Source organism: Homo sapiens, chromosome 8 (assembly GCF_000001405.40).
Source record: "Homo sapiens chromosome 8, GRCh38.p14 Primary Assembly".
Lineage (NCBI taxonomy): Eukaryota > Metazoa > Chordata > Mammalia > Primates > Hominidae > Homo > Homo sapiens.
This window is the reverse complement of record NC_000008.11, coordinates 98,661,034-98,678,548: the sequence shown is the minus strand read 5'-3', so window position 1 is coordinate 98,678,548 and position 17,515 is coordinate 98,661,034. Positions and strand designations below refer to the sequence as shown.

The 17,515-nt window shown below is 36.1% G+C and overlaps 1 protein-coding gene across 21 annotated transcripts in view; it reads left to right on the top strand.

Annotated features, from left to right (window-relative positions):
- Window positions 1-17,515, top strand: part of STK3 (serine/threonine kinase 3) — a 598,636-nt gene that overhangs the window by 264,062 nt on the left and 317,059 nt on the right. The window contains exon 8 of one of the 21 annotated variants that reach the window (XM_047422136.1): window positions 10,217-12,615. The exons of the other annotated variants lie outside the window; for them this stretch is intronic. Coding sequence (XP_047278092.1) covers window positions 10,217-10,225 — 9 coding nt within the window. The 3' untranslated portion in view covers window positions 10,226-12,615. Of the gene's footprint in view, window positions 1-10,216; window positions 12,616-17,515 lie in introns of those variants that run through there. 21 annotated transcript variants of the gene reach the window in all.

Below are 17,515 nucleotides of genomic sequence, written 5' to 3'. Positions count from 1 at the left end.
TTTTATGATAAAACTTTAAAATGTATGGTTTCTTTGTTTAAGGCGAAAGGAAGCAACTTATGCAAAGAAGCCATTACTAGTCATTAATCCTAAAGTTTAAAAAAGTCCATGGTTTTAATTTTTCATACTCATAAATTATTTATTAAATATCATAAATTATACTTTTTAAGAATTTAAGTATTCTGATGATAAGTTTTAATTTAAGGTGTAGCATATCAATTCTCTATGGATTTCATTTTTCTGTTTCTTTTCTACAAATTTTATTTCCACATAGAATGTTAAGAACTCTCTATTGGAGGAAATTATTATTTTTTTTAACCTTAAGAAACTGATATTTAATTGCATTTGTACATCCTATCTTTAACTTTGTATCAGTAAGCAGTCTTAACCAGCTGAGTGATTACATCAAGCCTAAATAATTAACCATATCAGAAAACATGCAATTAATAATGAACAGATTGTTAGATACTTCCTTCTATCAGTACAATCATTTTGAAAAGAAAACATTCTAAATGTTTTTTTCATTTAAAATGTATTGTACCTGCCAAAAAATACAAATGTGGTTTTCTTAACCTTGGACACTGATATATACATGTGCAGTAGGGAAGCATACTTCTGTTGCCAGCTTCTTAGTTACTGGGGTAGGCAGAATTGTTCTCCAACTACCTGACTCCTTCTGCAACCTCTTGTGCTGATGGTATTCATATAAAATGTAAAAAACATTTTCAAATGTTTTGCGAAGTTTTGAGAAGAAAAGTTCTGAAAAATTCCTAGGAGAGGGAAGAAAAAGGGTGAAGGCAGAATGACAAGTACCCATATTTGGAGATTTGGTGGAAGGAGATAAAAGAGACCAGAGAGTAAGAGAAGAATTAGGAGAGTTTCAGCCAAGGGAGAAAATAGTTTTAAGGAGGTTGTGATTGATGACCTTTTACAAATGTTTGTCCTCTTCTCTGTCTCCATCTCCATCTCCGTCTCCTTCTCCTTCCTTCTTCCTTCTTCCTTCCTCTTCCTCCTTTGTCTTTCTTCTTCTTTCTTCTTTTTTGCCTTTAGTTTGGGTAGTATGAATAATAGGTTATCAGATTGGAGGTCATGGTTAACTTTCAGGAGTGTAATTCAGTCAAGTAGCAGGCTGAAGTCAATTCCTGGGGGATCCAGAAATGAAGTTCGGTAGCCAAGAAGAGGAGTAAGTTGGGTGGCGGTGGGGGCGGGGGGTGGGGGTGCGGTGAGATTTGAAGGTTTGAGAGTCCAGGGAAGATTTTAATGGCATGAGGAGACTTAGTCTGATTTTAGAATGAGATGTAGGACCCAGAGGAGAGGATTAAAGATGTAAGGAGTAGGGCCAAGGGCGACAGATAATGAAACAAGGCCCCAGTCAGGTAGCAGGGAATGTGACTGAGGATTTAAGTCTAGTCATCAACCATGGGGAAAGTAGATTTAAGCATACTATGTCTATAACCTGCTCCTGCCCTGGACATCAAGTGTTACATTTGAAGAGCTCACTGCTTATTAATGCAGAAGCAGTATCAAGCATTTTATATGGTTGCCAGACTTAGGCAGGGCCAGTGGGTTGAAAGGCAGTAATACTTTGCTAGGCAATAATTGGTTTAGGGGTGCTGGTTAGCTGTAGTGGTGGTTCAGTTGCTTACAAAGTATTTAGAAGCCTCTGAGCAACTATATTCTGATCTGCCTTAAAAATAATTTAGAGTGAAGCTAATTACTGAAAGACCTTAACCAGCTTTTAAAAATATTGTGGAAATAAGCATAAATTCACCATTTTAACATTTTTAAGTGTACAATTCAGAGATGTTATATACACATTTACACTGTTGTACAGCCGTCACTACCATCCATACACAGAACTTATTTTTTTTTACTTTTTTATTGTGGCAAAATACACTTAACAAAATTTACCGTTTAACTTTTTTTTTTTTTTTAAAGATAGAGTTTCACTCTTGTTCCCCAGGCTGGAGTGCAATGGCATGATCTTAGCTCACTGCAACCTCTGCCTCTCAGGTTCAAGCGATTCTCCTGCCTCAGCCTCCCAGGTAGCTGGGATTACAGTCATGTGCCACCACTCCTGGCTAATTTTTGTATATGTAGTAGAGACTGGGTTTCACCATGTTGATTGGGCTGGATGGTCTCTAACTCCTGACCTCGGGTGATCCCAAGGTGCTGGGACTACAGGCGTGAGCCACCGCGCCCCGCCCCATTTAACTGTTTTTAAGTGGCATTAAATACTTTCGTATTACTCTGCAACATCACCACTATTCATCTCTAGAACTTTTCATCATCCCAAACTGAAACTCCATGCCTGTTAAAACAGTTACTTCCTACTACTTTCTCCTCTAGCTTCAAGTTAGAACTATTGTATTTTCTGTTTCTATAAATCTGACTATTCTGGGTACCTCATGTAAGTGGAATCAAGAAATATTTGTCCTTTTCTGTCTGGCTGCTTTCATATAGCACAATGTATTCAAGGTTCATTCATCTTGTAGTAACTGTCAGAATTTCATATCCTTTTTATGGCTGAATAGTATTTCATTTATGCGTACACATCATTTTGTTTATCTGTGCATCTATTGATGGAAACTTCGATTGTTTCCACCTTTTGGCTCTTGTGAATCGTGCTATGAATGTGGACACACAAATATTCTGTTTGAGTCCCTGCTTTTTTTTTTCTTTTTTGAGACAGAGTCTCGCTCTGTCACCCAAGCTGGAATGCAGTGGTGCAATATCGGCTCACTGCAAGCTCCGCCTCCCGGGTTCACACCATTCTCCTGCCTCAGCCTCCCGAGTAGCTGGGACTACAGGCTGCCCGCCACCACGTCTGGCTAGTTTTTTGTTATTTTTAGTAGAGAGGGGGTTTCACCGTGTTGGCCAGGATGGTCTCGATCTCCTGACCTCGTGATCCACCCACCTCGGCCTCCCAAAGTGCTGAGATTACAGGCATGAGCCACCACGCCCAGCCCGAGTCCCTGCTTTTAATTCTTTTAGGTATATACCCAGAAGTGGAATTGCTGGATCATATGATAATTTCATGCTTACTTTTTTGAGGAACCACCATACTGTTTTTCCATAGCTCAGCCATTTTTTTTATAGACATACAGATAAGATGGCATATAAAATGCATAATATTTGTATTCAAAGATTTATGGAACTCATGACGTGCAAGAAAATCACATCTTTAGGTTGAATCACATTTACATCATTTCAGGAAGCTAGCTGACTTATTTGTTTAAAGATGTTAACAGAAAAAGATAACATGTATATTTTTAATATAACAATTCTTGTAGTTGGAGAGTTCTTTCTCATATATAGTGTAGTGTAGTGTTATTAACATTCTTGGCATGTTTGATATAAAATCTGTACAGTGCTTTATTTTCCACAAGCCTTGTTCATTTGAACTACTTTTATTCATGAAGCACTTTATGTATATTTTTCTTTACTTGTTAAAACATTTGGCTGTTTTAAGGAGCTTGACCTAAACTCTGTGCTTTTGAAACAGTGAAGGCTACATGCATCATGCCACAATTCTTTGACTGGTCAACATATGTTTGAAAGTTTATTCTAATAATTTAATTCCATATTAAAATTAATGACAGTTTTCTCTTTTGTTGTTTATAAATGTGTATGTGAAATGTAGTTACCATTCCCGACAGGAACTTTTGGTAACACATTTAATAGAAATTTATAAGATAAACATTAGTCATGACAAAGAAAACAAAAAAACAGCCTTCTTCTAATAGTAAAACAAATATGTGAGGCAAAGAAACGGAAGATACGAATTATTCTCTTGCTTTTGAATATTTCATGAGTTTTCTTCTGAGATATTAGTAGAAAGTACCTCATAGTCTCTCCTAGTAGCTTTTTATTTGAAGTGAAGGGTTTTTAGACTTGACCTTTTGGCTGCTATAATTATTTGGGAACTGTGATCTCTTCATTTGTTGACATATTCTTTAAACTATAGTATAAATGTGTTAAGTTTGATATATAGAATGCTTTTTTACTTTGACCTTTTTTTGCCTCAAAAATGAATTCATTGATTTCTCATATCCACAAATCTAGCCCTATGATTTTGTCTTTTTAAAATTTGCTTTCCCCAGGCTGATCCAGTTCTAAATTCCATTTTTGTATCCCATTATGAAGATGTTTTCTCATTTTTTTCTGATTCATCACAAATTGAACATTTCATTGAGTTTATAAATATGTGTATGAGTCTTTTAGTGGTATTTTATATATTGTTTAAACAACTGAATGTAACAATATAATATTTATAATTTGTGGGGTTAAATTTACAAAATAATTCTTTGGTTGTCCTTTTGTGTATATTTTCTTCATGCATGTCATCTCTTTATTTCCCAGATAGTTTAACACATAAGCACTGTATGTTAAAATAACATAACTTGGATGACATATAGCAGTAAATGTACAAAATAAATTTTTAGTTTCCATTTTTCATATGTATTTTCTCTCTGAGTGTCTCTTTTGGAGGAAGCGAGAGTTCCTTGTAGATGAATTACATAATTTCATGCTGAATTTAGGAGAAATAAATTGTTAAAATGAGTACTTAAAAGAAAACATAAACTCCAAACCTATGTATATTTATTTTAATCTTTGGAATGTAGCATAGTATTCTACATATTTACCAGTTTATGTGGCATTGATAATTATTACAGTGTACATTTACTGAACTCATTTTGTATCACTGCTATTGTTCTAAGTATTTTTTTGGATGGTGTTAATAAATTGTTTTTTATTTCTTTTTTTAAAATTTGAAATTATTGAGATGAATTTCATATAACATATAATTAACCATTCTAAAGTGAACAGTTCAGTGGCCTTCAGAACTCTTATCTAGTTCTAAAACATTTCTTTCACTCCAAAATACAACCCGGTACTTGTTAAGCATTTTATCCCCATTCTCCACCATCCCACCTGCCCCTCCCCACCCCTCCGATCCTGGCAACCACCAGTTTGCATTCTGTCTTTATGGATTTATATATTTTATCTAAATGGAATCATGCAATATGTGACTTTTGTGTCTGGCTTCTTTCACTTAGCTTAATGTTTTTGAGGTTCATTTATGTTGTAGCACGCATTTTATTCCTTTATATGGTTGTGTTCTGAGTATTTTTTGTATACTAACTTATTTGATTCTCACATCAAACCCTATTTTGTGGGTGTTAGTACTATATCTACAGCTTACAGATGATCAAAGTAAGGTATAGAGAGAATAAAGAACTAGTAATTGGTAGAACCAGGATTAGAACCCAGACACTGGACTTTATATCCTGGTCTTATGACCTAGATGTAAAATAGTGTTTTATTCATCCTTGTATAAAGTAGATCCTAAGTATGACTGAACAAAATTGAAAAGGGAATTATATAACATTGAGGCAACTGGAAAAATTTAGGTTGAATAGCTGAGTGCCTGGGCTATGAGAAAGTTTAGAAGCCATAACCAAAATATGTAATACCAAATATTAAATATAGACATTATCTTTCTGATATTTTTGATATTTTTGGAACTAAATACCACTCAAAGTCAGTAAATGTGCATTTTTTTTTAAAGAAACACAGCAAACTGTCATAGCTTCTTCTTGAATCCCTTGAAGTATTTCACAATAATTATATGGCTTCTCTGTATGTAAAATTTAAACCTGCATAAAAAGTTCTTAGTGACTGCCCCCGACCTCCACTAAATAGTAATAACTTGATGGTTAGAATGTGCCTGAATTTGGCAGTTTTCCAGAATTCTGGTCATTAACTGTATAGCCACCTAACTTTTCACTTTTTTCTTTGAGAAAATTAAATCATCTTAACCCTTTACTCTTAAATTATATGGCTTTGCTAATAGGAAAGCATTCTTTTGATTTACTGAGGCAATTGCTTTGAAACCTTTGGGAAATAATTGTTTCTTTACTTAGCTGAACTTTGAGTACAGGAAAAAAACAAAACCCAAACCTCTTTCTTTTCTAAATGTGCTAGTGCCTGTGGAAGAGATGGTGATGTTGTTTAAGTAATTAGCTTGAGGACATGTAGATGAGAGATTTTATGTAAAACAAATTTTTGAGTCATAATTTTATTGTAATATCAGATATATGATTCTATAGAAAAGATCTTTCCCAAAGCTGTAAAACAAAACAAAACAAAAATTCTTTCTTTCCCATACAAGGTTTCTCTCTGTTGCCCAGGCTGGAGTGCAGTGGCGGGATCGTAGCTCTTTGAGACCTCAAGCCCCTTGGCACAACACCCCCACCAATCACACCCCCTAACCCCCTAACCCCCCACACCCACCGCCCACCATGTCTCAGCCTTCCAAAGTGCTGGGTCTACATATTTGGGAGGCTGAGGTTGGGGGATCACTTGAGCCCAGGAGTTCAAGACCAGCCTGGGCAAGTTTGAGAGACCCTGTCTGTGTTAGTTCATTCTCATGGTGCTATGAAGAAATACCCGAGACTGAGTAATTTGTAAAGAAAAGAGGTTTAATTGATGCACAGTTCCACATGGCTGAGAAGGCCTGAGGAAACTTATAATCATGGTGGAAGGCACCTCTTCACAGGGTGGCAGGAGAGAGAATGAGTGGCAAGCAAAGGGGGAAGCCCTTTATAAAACCATCACATCTCATGAGGACTCACTTACTATCATGAGAACAGCAGGGGGAAACTGCCCCTGTGATTCAGTTATCTCCACCTGGTCCCACCCTTGATACCTGAGGATTATTACAATTCAAGGTAAGATTTGGGTGGGGATACAGAACCAAACCATATCACTGTTATCTACAAAAGATTTTTTAAAAAGTAGCCAAGTGTGGTGGTATGTGCCTATGGTCCCAGCTACTCTGGAAGCTGAGGTGGGAAGAACTTTTGAGCTCAGGAGGTCGAGGCTGCAGTGAGCCATGATTACACCACTGCACTCTAGCCTGGGTGACAGAGCGAGAGACCCTGTCCCAAAAAAACAAAAAACAAAAAAAAACCCCAAACTAAAAAATTTATATACAAAAACCTCAGCATATTTGTCAAATAACTGTGTCAGTGAGTTCTTAAGCATTTTGTTTTCATATAATATAAAATATTTTATTTCCTGCTGTCTTTCTATGTATACAAATAACCAAGTTGCTAGTTTCTTTGTTGTATGAGCTTTTATGTAATTTATGGCATTTCCATTTGTATGTAGCTGTAATGAACTTTGTCTCTGCTTTGTTCCTTACCATGGAAATGGGTTTTTTCCCCCTCAGATGGATTCAGACAATAGTTCTGGGTGGTAAGTCTCCATGTAAGGAGTTAGCCCTTCTATTTACAAAGGCTGTCCTTAATTTCATAGGTAATGTTTCTGGAAGTTCAGCCATTGACAGAATGTTATAAGAGAAGGTTCTTATCCCACAGAGCTTTATTATACATTCTCTAATTTCATTTTGCCTTATCATTAATATATTTTTAGTGTGTTATACATGTTACTTATATTGACTTTTCCTTTAACATTTAAATAGTGTTGATGCAGGATTTTTCTTGGCCCCTTTGCTGGGCTCGCAGGAGCAGGTGCCCCATTTACTCAGCCTGCCAGGCCGCATCTGGCTTGCACTCCAGTGTGGATCCCACAGCTGCCACAACTGCACACTCAGCCCCCACATTCAGTGGGTCCCGAGTTCTTGTCCCATGTCCAAGAAGAATGAGGTCTCACTGACAATTGAAGGGTGATGAGGACAGAGAATTTTATTGAGTGATGAAGCAGCTCTCAGTCTAGAGAGGGGACAGGAAGGTGGTCTCTCACTCGAAGTTGGGTCATCTCCCTCAGTGTGGCTGGATCTGGGGTTTTTATGGGCACAGGATCGGGGGGGCCCATGGGCCACAGGTAGTATTGGAAAAGGCAACATTTGATTGGTTAAAAAGCATTATTCAGAAAGAACCAGTTGGGAAAGAGCAGGCAAACAGAAATAGAAGTTCTCTCTCTGGGTCATGGGTTTCAGGCTGTTTTTGACTTGAAGGTGGGGTTTCACCCTGTCTGACTAGGATTTTTCTGCTTCCTGCCTCTATCAGTGTTGATTGACTTAATATTTAGTGAGCTTCCATTTGAGCCTAAAGATGTTATATTAAATCTAATGATTTTTATTTGCATCTAGATTATTGCTTATCATGTGTCAGTACTTCTTTCCTGAGTCCATACTTCTTTCATTTTTTTTCTTTTTTTGAGATGAGGCCCCACTCTGTAACCCAGGCTGGAGAGCAGTGGTGCGATCACGGTTCACTGCAACCCCTCGAGCCTGGGCACCTGCTCGCCTCAGCCTCTGGAGTAGCTGGTACTATAGGCACACACCACCACGCCTAGCTAATATTTCTATTTTTTGTAGAGATGGGGTTTCACCATGTTGCCCAGGCTGGTCTCGAACTCTTGGACTCAAGCAATCCACTTGCCTTGGCCTCCCAAAGTGCTGGGATTTACAGGCATGAGCTACTGCACCTGGCCTCTATTCATTTTTATATACAGTGTTGTGAGTACTAATTTTCAAATATTTGTTAACCTGAAACCCTTCAAAAGGGTTGAAAAGTTATCTAAAAGTACAGTTATCTACTACAGATATAGGTGGAGAAGCTTATGGTGGAAGAATGCTAGCAGCTACAGCCTTCTGAACATCTCTTCATTTTATCATCTATCGTGTGAAAGAGATCTTCTATCGTTTGAAAGGGATCTTTAATCTTTCCTGTGTTTGGGTATCTTCGAAGGGCTAGGCCATACATAGAACAGGGTAGGAGAAAGGAGGTAAGTAAGGTGAAAGGAGAAACAGATTTGTTTGACACAAGTGTTGTAGGGACTGATACTTTGTTACCCTCAGTTGTGTAACATGTTGCTTGATTCTGTTGAAGACCCTGTATTCCGGGTGTTCATTGATTTTTTTTGGGATACTTCCTTGACGATCTGTATGAAGCACCCTAAGAGAACATGTTAGAACATGTAGTTTCTCTAAAAATTCCACTTTGAATTTTTGGAAGACTGCTATGTATTAGTCAAAAAATATTTTAGATAAATTTCTTTCCCCTGCCTTCTTATTCTTTGACTAATTAGTCAAATGTATACAAAGGGTGTCTTCCTGTATTTGAACCAACCAAAAACACACATCTGAACTGTCAGCTAAGGGGTAGGCTTGGTGTTATGATCAATTAGAGGAGTCTTGCTTCTAGAACAATACCCACTAGAACAATAAAAAATCCAAGTCTTTTTTTAGAACTGTTGATATGATTTAAAAGATAAGATTAATGGGCCGGGCGCAGTGGCTCACGCCTGTAATCCCAGCACTTTGGGAGGCCGAGGTGGGTGGATCATGATGTCAGGAGTTCGAGACCAGCCTGATCAATATGATGAAACCACATCTCTAGTAAGAATACAAAAATTAGCCAGGTGTGGTGGTGCGTGCCTGTAATCCCAGCTACTCAGGAGGCTGAGGCAGGAGAATTGCTTGGAGCCAGGAGACGGAGGTTGCAGTGAGCTGAGATTACACCATTGCACTCCAACCTGGGCAACAGAGCGAGAGCAAGACTCCATCTCAAAAAAAAAAAAAAAAAAAAGACAAGATTAATTTGGCACGTGTAATCAAGTAGCAGAGGCAGTTTGAAAGCTGAACACAATTGAAATATAATTGGAATTATACAGAAAACACTTATTTCATATTCTTAAACAAGGTTTTAATTAAAGTAGAATTGACTCATCTTTTTTTGATGTGCCTCTGAGAAGGAAATTTGTAACACACTTCAGTTGATGGTTGGCTTTCTCTGACTTTGATTAATCACTTTCAAAGTAAGCAATAGATGAGTATAGTAATTTTATAATTATATGCAAGTGAGATTATTTTAAACTAACTGTAAAGGAAGTTTTATATTGTTCAACATTATATAATGCTGTATATTTTTCTTTTACTATTAAAATACATGTAGTAATCTGAAAAAAGATTTTGTATTATTTTTATAAATACAATTTAATGGAAACTTTAAGCTAGAAATATTAGTTTCAAAGACATTTATCTATTAATACTGAAACTTTAAGCTTTTTTGAAAACTAGTTGATGAAACTAATAAATATTGGAAATAATCCAACTGGTGGAGCTGACTGTAAGTTATGATTCCACACTAGTGAACCAACTTGTGCCTCCCTGAAGCACTGCTAAAAATAAAACTTTGAACTGTCTGAAAGATTTGAAATGACAATGGAATTTGATTATTCACAGTCAAGATAAAAGGACTCTCCTCAGTGCAAGATTAAATGCCCCTAAAAGTTTAAGAAGTTTTCACCTGTCAAAACTAATACAAAGAGAAATTAATTCTGTTTAAATTAATAATACTGAAGAATGTACACCTCATCTTACCTGTATCTAGAATCCTCACTGGGTAAGTATTTAATCCATTCTGAAAGAATCTTAAACAGTTTTATTAAGAAGAACATAACCAATCTGCAATATTACCTATTTAAAAATTTCTTATATGTTCATTTCTTAATTAAAGCTTTTAACAAAAGTAAGTGTATTTTGTCACTGAAACTGTATTAAACAACTGAGAAAGTGTCTAATACTCTAATGTATTTTTAAGCATTGATTAACTTTTATATGGTGAGTCACTTGCTTCATCATCTCTTTTAAGAGTAAAAATAAGTGCTATTTAATGGTAGAAACCAAGTATTTATACTCTTTTCATTACCAAAATAAGACACAAAAATTAATGGATTTTTTTAACATTGAAGATTGTAGTTCAATTAAGTTTATGAGGAAAAGTTATGATTGTCATGTTACTAATTGTATCACTTTTTCCTTATATGTTGTGAATTTAACATTTGTTTTGTACTTCGTTTTTTATTTTTAAAACAGCATAGGCTCAAAACAAAGTAAAATCTTTCAGAAAAGACTATCAGAGTCTATACTTGCTCTCTTTTCTTATTTTGACTTGCCTTTTATACATTCAATTTTTAAAATGATGCTGCATATTTAATGAAAAAAGTTTTTTAAAAGGAAGTGTTGCCAATCAGTCAAAATTTGTTACAGTTAAAATTTGATGGTCTACAGACAATTTATAATCCTTTTCTTGTTATAAAATATTGTCAAATTTATAGTAGTATCAGTTAGAAAGTTTATGGAAACATTGTTTAAGGTGGTTTAAAATAGAAGTAAATCTTTAATTTGAATTTGATGACACCTGTTTTCATTTTGTTCCCCCGGCAACACTGCTAGTACCAAAATTGCCCATAGACCACCCTGGTTTTTGAAAAGAATGAAATCATTCTGTTTTTTAAAAATTTTATCCTTTTACTGACTAAATATTTAAACAGGGTTATAAAACATCTGTCAGAGTTTGTGAACTCATGTTGGAGTAAAAGAGTTTAGGACACATAATTGGAAGTTTTGCATGAAAATTCCTGAGTAGTTTTAGTTTGTCTTTCTTAGTTATGCTGAAGTTTTTATTAGAATTATAATTAGAAATTAGAAAAGTAATTGACAGCAACAATGGAAAAAATATCTGGACTCAGTTGTTTTGGAAAGCTATGCTTGCTTTCCTTCAGTTATTGACAATTGAGATTTTTTAAAAAGACAATATGATCCTTTTCTCTGGAAGGCTCTGGGCAGTCAAGATATACGAATTAAGGTTTACACTGTTGAGACTCCTGTGAGAGAGAGGTAAAGCTGACACAAATGTTATCTTTTCTAGCATTTTTTCCACCTGCTGTATGATTGATTCATGTGTTTGGGACATTGTAAAATGTCATTATTCTATCTTTTTTAGTTGTGAATAATTGAGACTTAGATGTAATAAAACAAGTGGCTGAAAATTATTAGTTTTTCATGTCCAGAGACCAGAATTGTTTATAATAGGCAAACTGAGCCAGACATGTTAGATCAATGTGTATTCTTTTGATAATTTCCTTCATCAGATGGGATTTATTCCTGTGTTCTCCAAAGGAAAATTTATATGGGAAAATTTTGGTTTACTTTTAAAGAATTGGGTATTTAGACCAGCAAATCTTTGTTTTATTTACATTTGCCTTGTGTATTAAGAAATATAGGTTATATTCTGTTATAGAAATATTTATGAGGCTAAATCTCTACACTTAACATGATTAGGTATAACTGTATATAGAACTAACAGAGACACTAAATATTTAACATCTATTACAAGTAATATTCTGCTGCTGTTTTTTACTATAAGGTTACTTTTTCTTACAGTAGATAAATCATTTTTCTTATTGAGAAGCATGTGGCTGAATATATACCTGTCTACCCCTAAGTTTTCTTGTATATTACTTTATTCTATATGTTACTAGGCTAATATAGAAAATGTCCTTGGATGAATCAGAATACCTCTGTGTGATTTTTTTTTTTTTTTACATTTACAAAAACCATTGTGTCAAGGTAAGGAGATTATTCTGGTTTAATATAATGCCATTTGAATGAGGAGTCAGTTTTCTTTCTGGATAAACCAGTTATTAGGTGAAATTTACTTCTTGACAGTGTCCATCATTTAAAAGGGACTGGAAGAACTCGTGTTGAAGTTTCCTTAAAAATCAGGATGGGGCCAGGTGCGGTGGCTCACGCCTGTAATCCCAGCACTTTGGCAGGCTGAGGCAGGTGGATCACGAGGTCAGGAGATCGAGACCATCCTGGCTAACATGGTGAAACCCTGTCTCTACTAAAAATACAAAAAATTAGCCGGGCGTGGTGGCGGGCACATGTAGTCCCAGCTACTCTGGAGGCTGAGGCAGGAGAATGGCGTGAACCCAGGAGGCGGAGCTTGCAGTGAGCCGAGATCGCGCTACTGCACTCCAGCCTGGGCGACAGAGCAAGACTCGGTCTCAAAAAAAAAAAAAATCAGGATGGGTACTGGGTGTGGTTGTGGCTCATGCCTGTAATCACAGCACTTTGGGAGGCTGAGGTAGGAGGATTCCTTGAGTCTAGGAGTTTGAGACCAGTTTGGGCAACATAGTGAGACCTTGTCTCTACAAAAAATAAAATTAGGTGGGCGCAGTTGCACATACCTGTAGTCCCAGCTGCTCCGGAGGCTGATGTGGGAGGATTGCTTGAGCCTGGGAAGACTGAGGCTACAGTGAGTCATGATTGTGCCACTGCACTCCAGCCTAGGCAGCAGGGCAAGACCCCATCTCAAAAAACAAACAAACAAAAAGAAACCTTGGTGGTTTATGTAACCAGCTACTTCAATGGGGATACAACCCTCTGATGACATTTTAAAATTTTGACTTCTGCTTCATAGGATCAATAGTGTGGTGAAATAGAAAGAACTGCCTTTGTAGTCAGACCTTTAGTTTCAGCATTTTGTTCTCTCTAATACGATCTCTGTGAATTACGTAACGTAATCATCTGTAAAAAAGATGTAATACCTTTCAAGTTTGTTTTGAGAGTTAAATGAGAAAGTAGGTAAAGATAGTGTTTGACACACAGTAGGAAGTTAAAGTTAGTGCACATACATTCTTACACTTTTCATTCTTTCTGGGAATTTGCCTTCTTAGTGCTGAGTACCTTGGCAAGAAAGAACAGTACATACAATTATAAGAATGTTGTGTCCTAGTGGAATTTAGGGTAGGAATTGGGATCCATGTTTCTAAGACTGTTTTTAGTTAAACTACTTACTATACCTAGATACTTTTTTTTTTTTTAATTGAGACGGAGTTTTGCTCTTGTTGCCCAGGCTGGAGTGCAATGGTGTGATCTTGGCTCACTGCAACCTCCGCCTCCCGGGTTCAAGCAATTCTCCTGCCTCAGCCTCCCAAGTAGCTGGGATTATAGGCAGTACTTCTAAGAGAATTCTCAAAGCCAGAGATCATTCTCTCTCCTCTTAGTCATTTATGCTTTCGGTGAACTTATTAGTTCATCTCCTTTTCAGTTAATATGGAAAGCATTTCTTATGCATAGTAATATAAAGTACCCTTGAAGGGAACACCTTATAAGATGTCGTTTTATATATCCAAACCAAACGAAGTTGGGCTAAAGAGTCAAGACCTGGTTCTGAAGGAAGCAAAGACAATCTGCTTAAAACGTAGAATATTTATTATTTGGCATTGTACAGCAATAGTATTATTAGTCTGTATTTATGAAGTATTTTCAAGCTTAGCAAACAATTCTACATAAATTATAATCTTTAAATTCTCACAGATAGTTAACCCTATGAGATCCGATAGGAACTGTGATTGCCATTGGACAGATGAAGAAATGAAGACCCAGACCGGGGTAGCATCTGATCACTCATATTGCAATCCAGGATTGCGATTAAGTGCTGATCCCCTTTTTTTTGGTGGTGGTTAAATTTTCATAGGACTTTATTAGTGAAGTGATTTAAGAGTCAATCCACAGCAGAATACTACTAAAATCTTTCTTCAATTAGATGGGAATCAGTAGAAAGAAATGGGGGCAGGTTTGGTATGTAGATATATTCATTAATGAATATAGACTTATCTGAGTGGTGTGTTTTCTTTTCCTTTGCAGAGTATACTGCTGATAACTTTTTGGGACTTGGATATGTCATAATAATTATAGTAATAATAACACCTAAACATGTAAAAAGTTTTTATTGTGCATGAGGCAAAAGTGTGGTACGTGAATTCTAGTCTTCTCAACAATCCTTTGAACAAAAGGTACTATTTTTGCTGTATTTTATATATAAGGAAAAGTTTGTTGTAAAGGAGAAAGTATTAAAGACTATGTAACCTTTCTCCTACCTTAGAAATACAACTTGTGTTCTCATTGTTCAGTTCCCACCTATGAGTGAGAAAATGTGGTGGTTGCTTTTTTCTTCTTGCAATAGTTTGCTGAGAATGATGGTTTCCAGCTTCATCCATGTCCCTACAAAGGACATGAACTCATCATTTTTTATGGCTGCATAGTATTCCATGGTGTATATGTGCCACATTTTCTTAATCCACTCTATCATTTTTAGACATTTGGGTTGGTTCCAAGTCTTTGCTATTGTGAATAGTGCTGCAGTAAACATACGTGTGCATGTGTCTTTATAGCAGCATGATTTATAATCTTTTGGGTATATACCCAGCAATGGGATGGCTGGGTCAAATGGTATTTCTAGTTCTAGATCCCTGAGGAATCACCACACTGACTTCCACAGTGGTTGAATTAGTTTTCAGTCCCACCAACACTGTAAAAGTGTTCCTATTTCTCCACATCCTCTCTAGCACCTGTTGTTTCCTGACTTTTTAATGATTGCCATTCTAACTGGTGTGAGATGGTATCTCATTGTGGTTTTGATTTGCATTTCTCTGATGGCCAGTGATGATGAGCATTTTTTCATGTGTCTTTTGGCTGCATAGATGTCTTCTTTTGAGAAGTGTCTGTTCATATCCTTCACCCACTTTTTGTTGGGGTTGTTTTTTTCTTGTGAATTTGAGTTCATTGTAGATTCTGGATATTAGCCCTTTGTCAGATGAGTAGATTGCAAAAATTTTTCCCGTTCTGTAGGTTGCCTCTTCACTCTGGTGGTAGTTTCTTTTGCTGTGCAGAAGCTCTTTAATTTAATTAGATCCCATTTATCAATTTTGGCTTTTGTTGCCATTGCTTTTGGTGTTTTAGACGTGAAGTCCTTGCCCATGCCTATGTCCTGAATGGTATTGCCTAGGTTTTCTTCTAGGGTTTTTATGGTTTTAGGTCTAACATTTAAGTCTTTAATCCATCTTGAATTAACAGGAAGGGGAACATCACACACCGGGGCCTGTTGTGGGGTTGGGGGAGGGGTGAGGGATAGCATTAGGAGATATACCTAATGTTAAATGACGAGTTAATGGGTGCAGCACAACAATGTGGCACATGTATACATATGTAACAAACCTGCACGTTGTGCACATGTACCCTAAAACTTAAAGTTTAAAAAAAAAAAAAGAAATACAGCTTGACATATAGCACATTATACATTTTTAGGTCTGTTGGAAATTTTGTGGTTTCAAAGCCTTCATAACACATTTGCAAAACAGTAGATAGAGTGTTATTTAAGCTTTACTTTTAAAAAACTCATTTTCACTTTTTAATCCATGGTGTTAAAAAAATCCCTCCAATACTGTTAATAAGACAAAATAAGTTTAATAGTCAAGGCCTACATATGGATCATAGATCATATTGTTTAATTTGCTGCAAGATTACTTGGGAATTCCACATCAGAATTTGAAAGAAGCTCATTTTCTGGTTGTAAAAGTTTTGGGGAGGGTCTCCATTTTTTTGCTGGATCCCACTTGCTTGAATAAAATATTTTGAAGAATGAACTACAAAAATTAAGAATTACATTAGTATATCGATTTACTTATTTTTACTGATTACAAAGTAAAGATTAATTTTGGTATTTCAGTTTTATCAGATTATTAATTTTGATGTTTGTCTTTGTTATAGATAGTAAAAATTGAACAGCTTCTCCATGGGTCTCTCAATGTACAACCTGCTTCATCCTTTCATTCATTTTTTTCAAACATTGATTAAACACTTACTCCATGGCAGACATTTTTTGCGTATACTAGGGACAAAAAATAGGAGTAAGGAAACAATCTTTATGCTTAAGAAGCTTACAGTCTGTGGGATAAATACATAGCAAGCAGGTGTTTATAGTACATTTTGGTAAGTACTGTGGTAATTGTGACTAGAATCTATGAGATGATATAACTCAGCATTATTGGGAGTTAGGGTGGGTGGTAGGTATAGGCACTGAGTCCTGAAGACTAAAGAAGTAGAGATGGGGGTAGACAAAGTAAGGTTTTTCTAATCAGAGAAGGTAAGCATGTATAAAAGTAGATGTGTGGTATTCTGGGATCCTAAATAACTCTTAAGGGCTGTAGCAGAGAATGTGGGTGTAGATTATTTATGTATGTGGTGATTCTAATACTGGAGACAGAGGTAGTGGTCATGTCCTGACCTGTATATTATTTGGGAATTTAAATTTTTCCTCCCCGAAGATTATGGGAGGCCACTTGAAAATTTTGAGCAGAATGGTGGGATCTGATTTTTGTTGTTGTTGTTATGTCACTAATGGCATCAGTATAGGAAACAGATTAAAGTGGAGCAGGACTAATATTAGGAATACCCATTAGGAGGCTGCCAATAATCCAGGGGAGAAATGATGATACCCTGGATTAAGGTATTAGCTGCGGTGATAGAGAAAAAGGGACAGGTCCCAGAGATATAAAAGAGGTAAAATAAGATGTGGTTAGTATTTTAAAACTTCATTGAGCTAAATAATCAAGTTATAAGAGTACTATATGCCTATGACATGTGAGGGATAGTTCATCTACCACAGATTTGTTTTGAAGCATTTCCTTATTTTCAAAGAGGCTGTATTTCCTTTAGTTATCTCTATTCTAGAAGTGAAATATAAAACGTACTTCTTAAAACAGGTTCAGTATTTACCTATTGAATTGTAGCGTGACATTTTAAAAATTGTAATTTATACTTATGGTAGGAGTGCTCTAAAGAGTTACAAAGAAAAGAAAAAAATACATTTATACTGTCTTTTACATTTACCTCTGTAGTTACCTTTGCTGT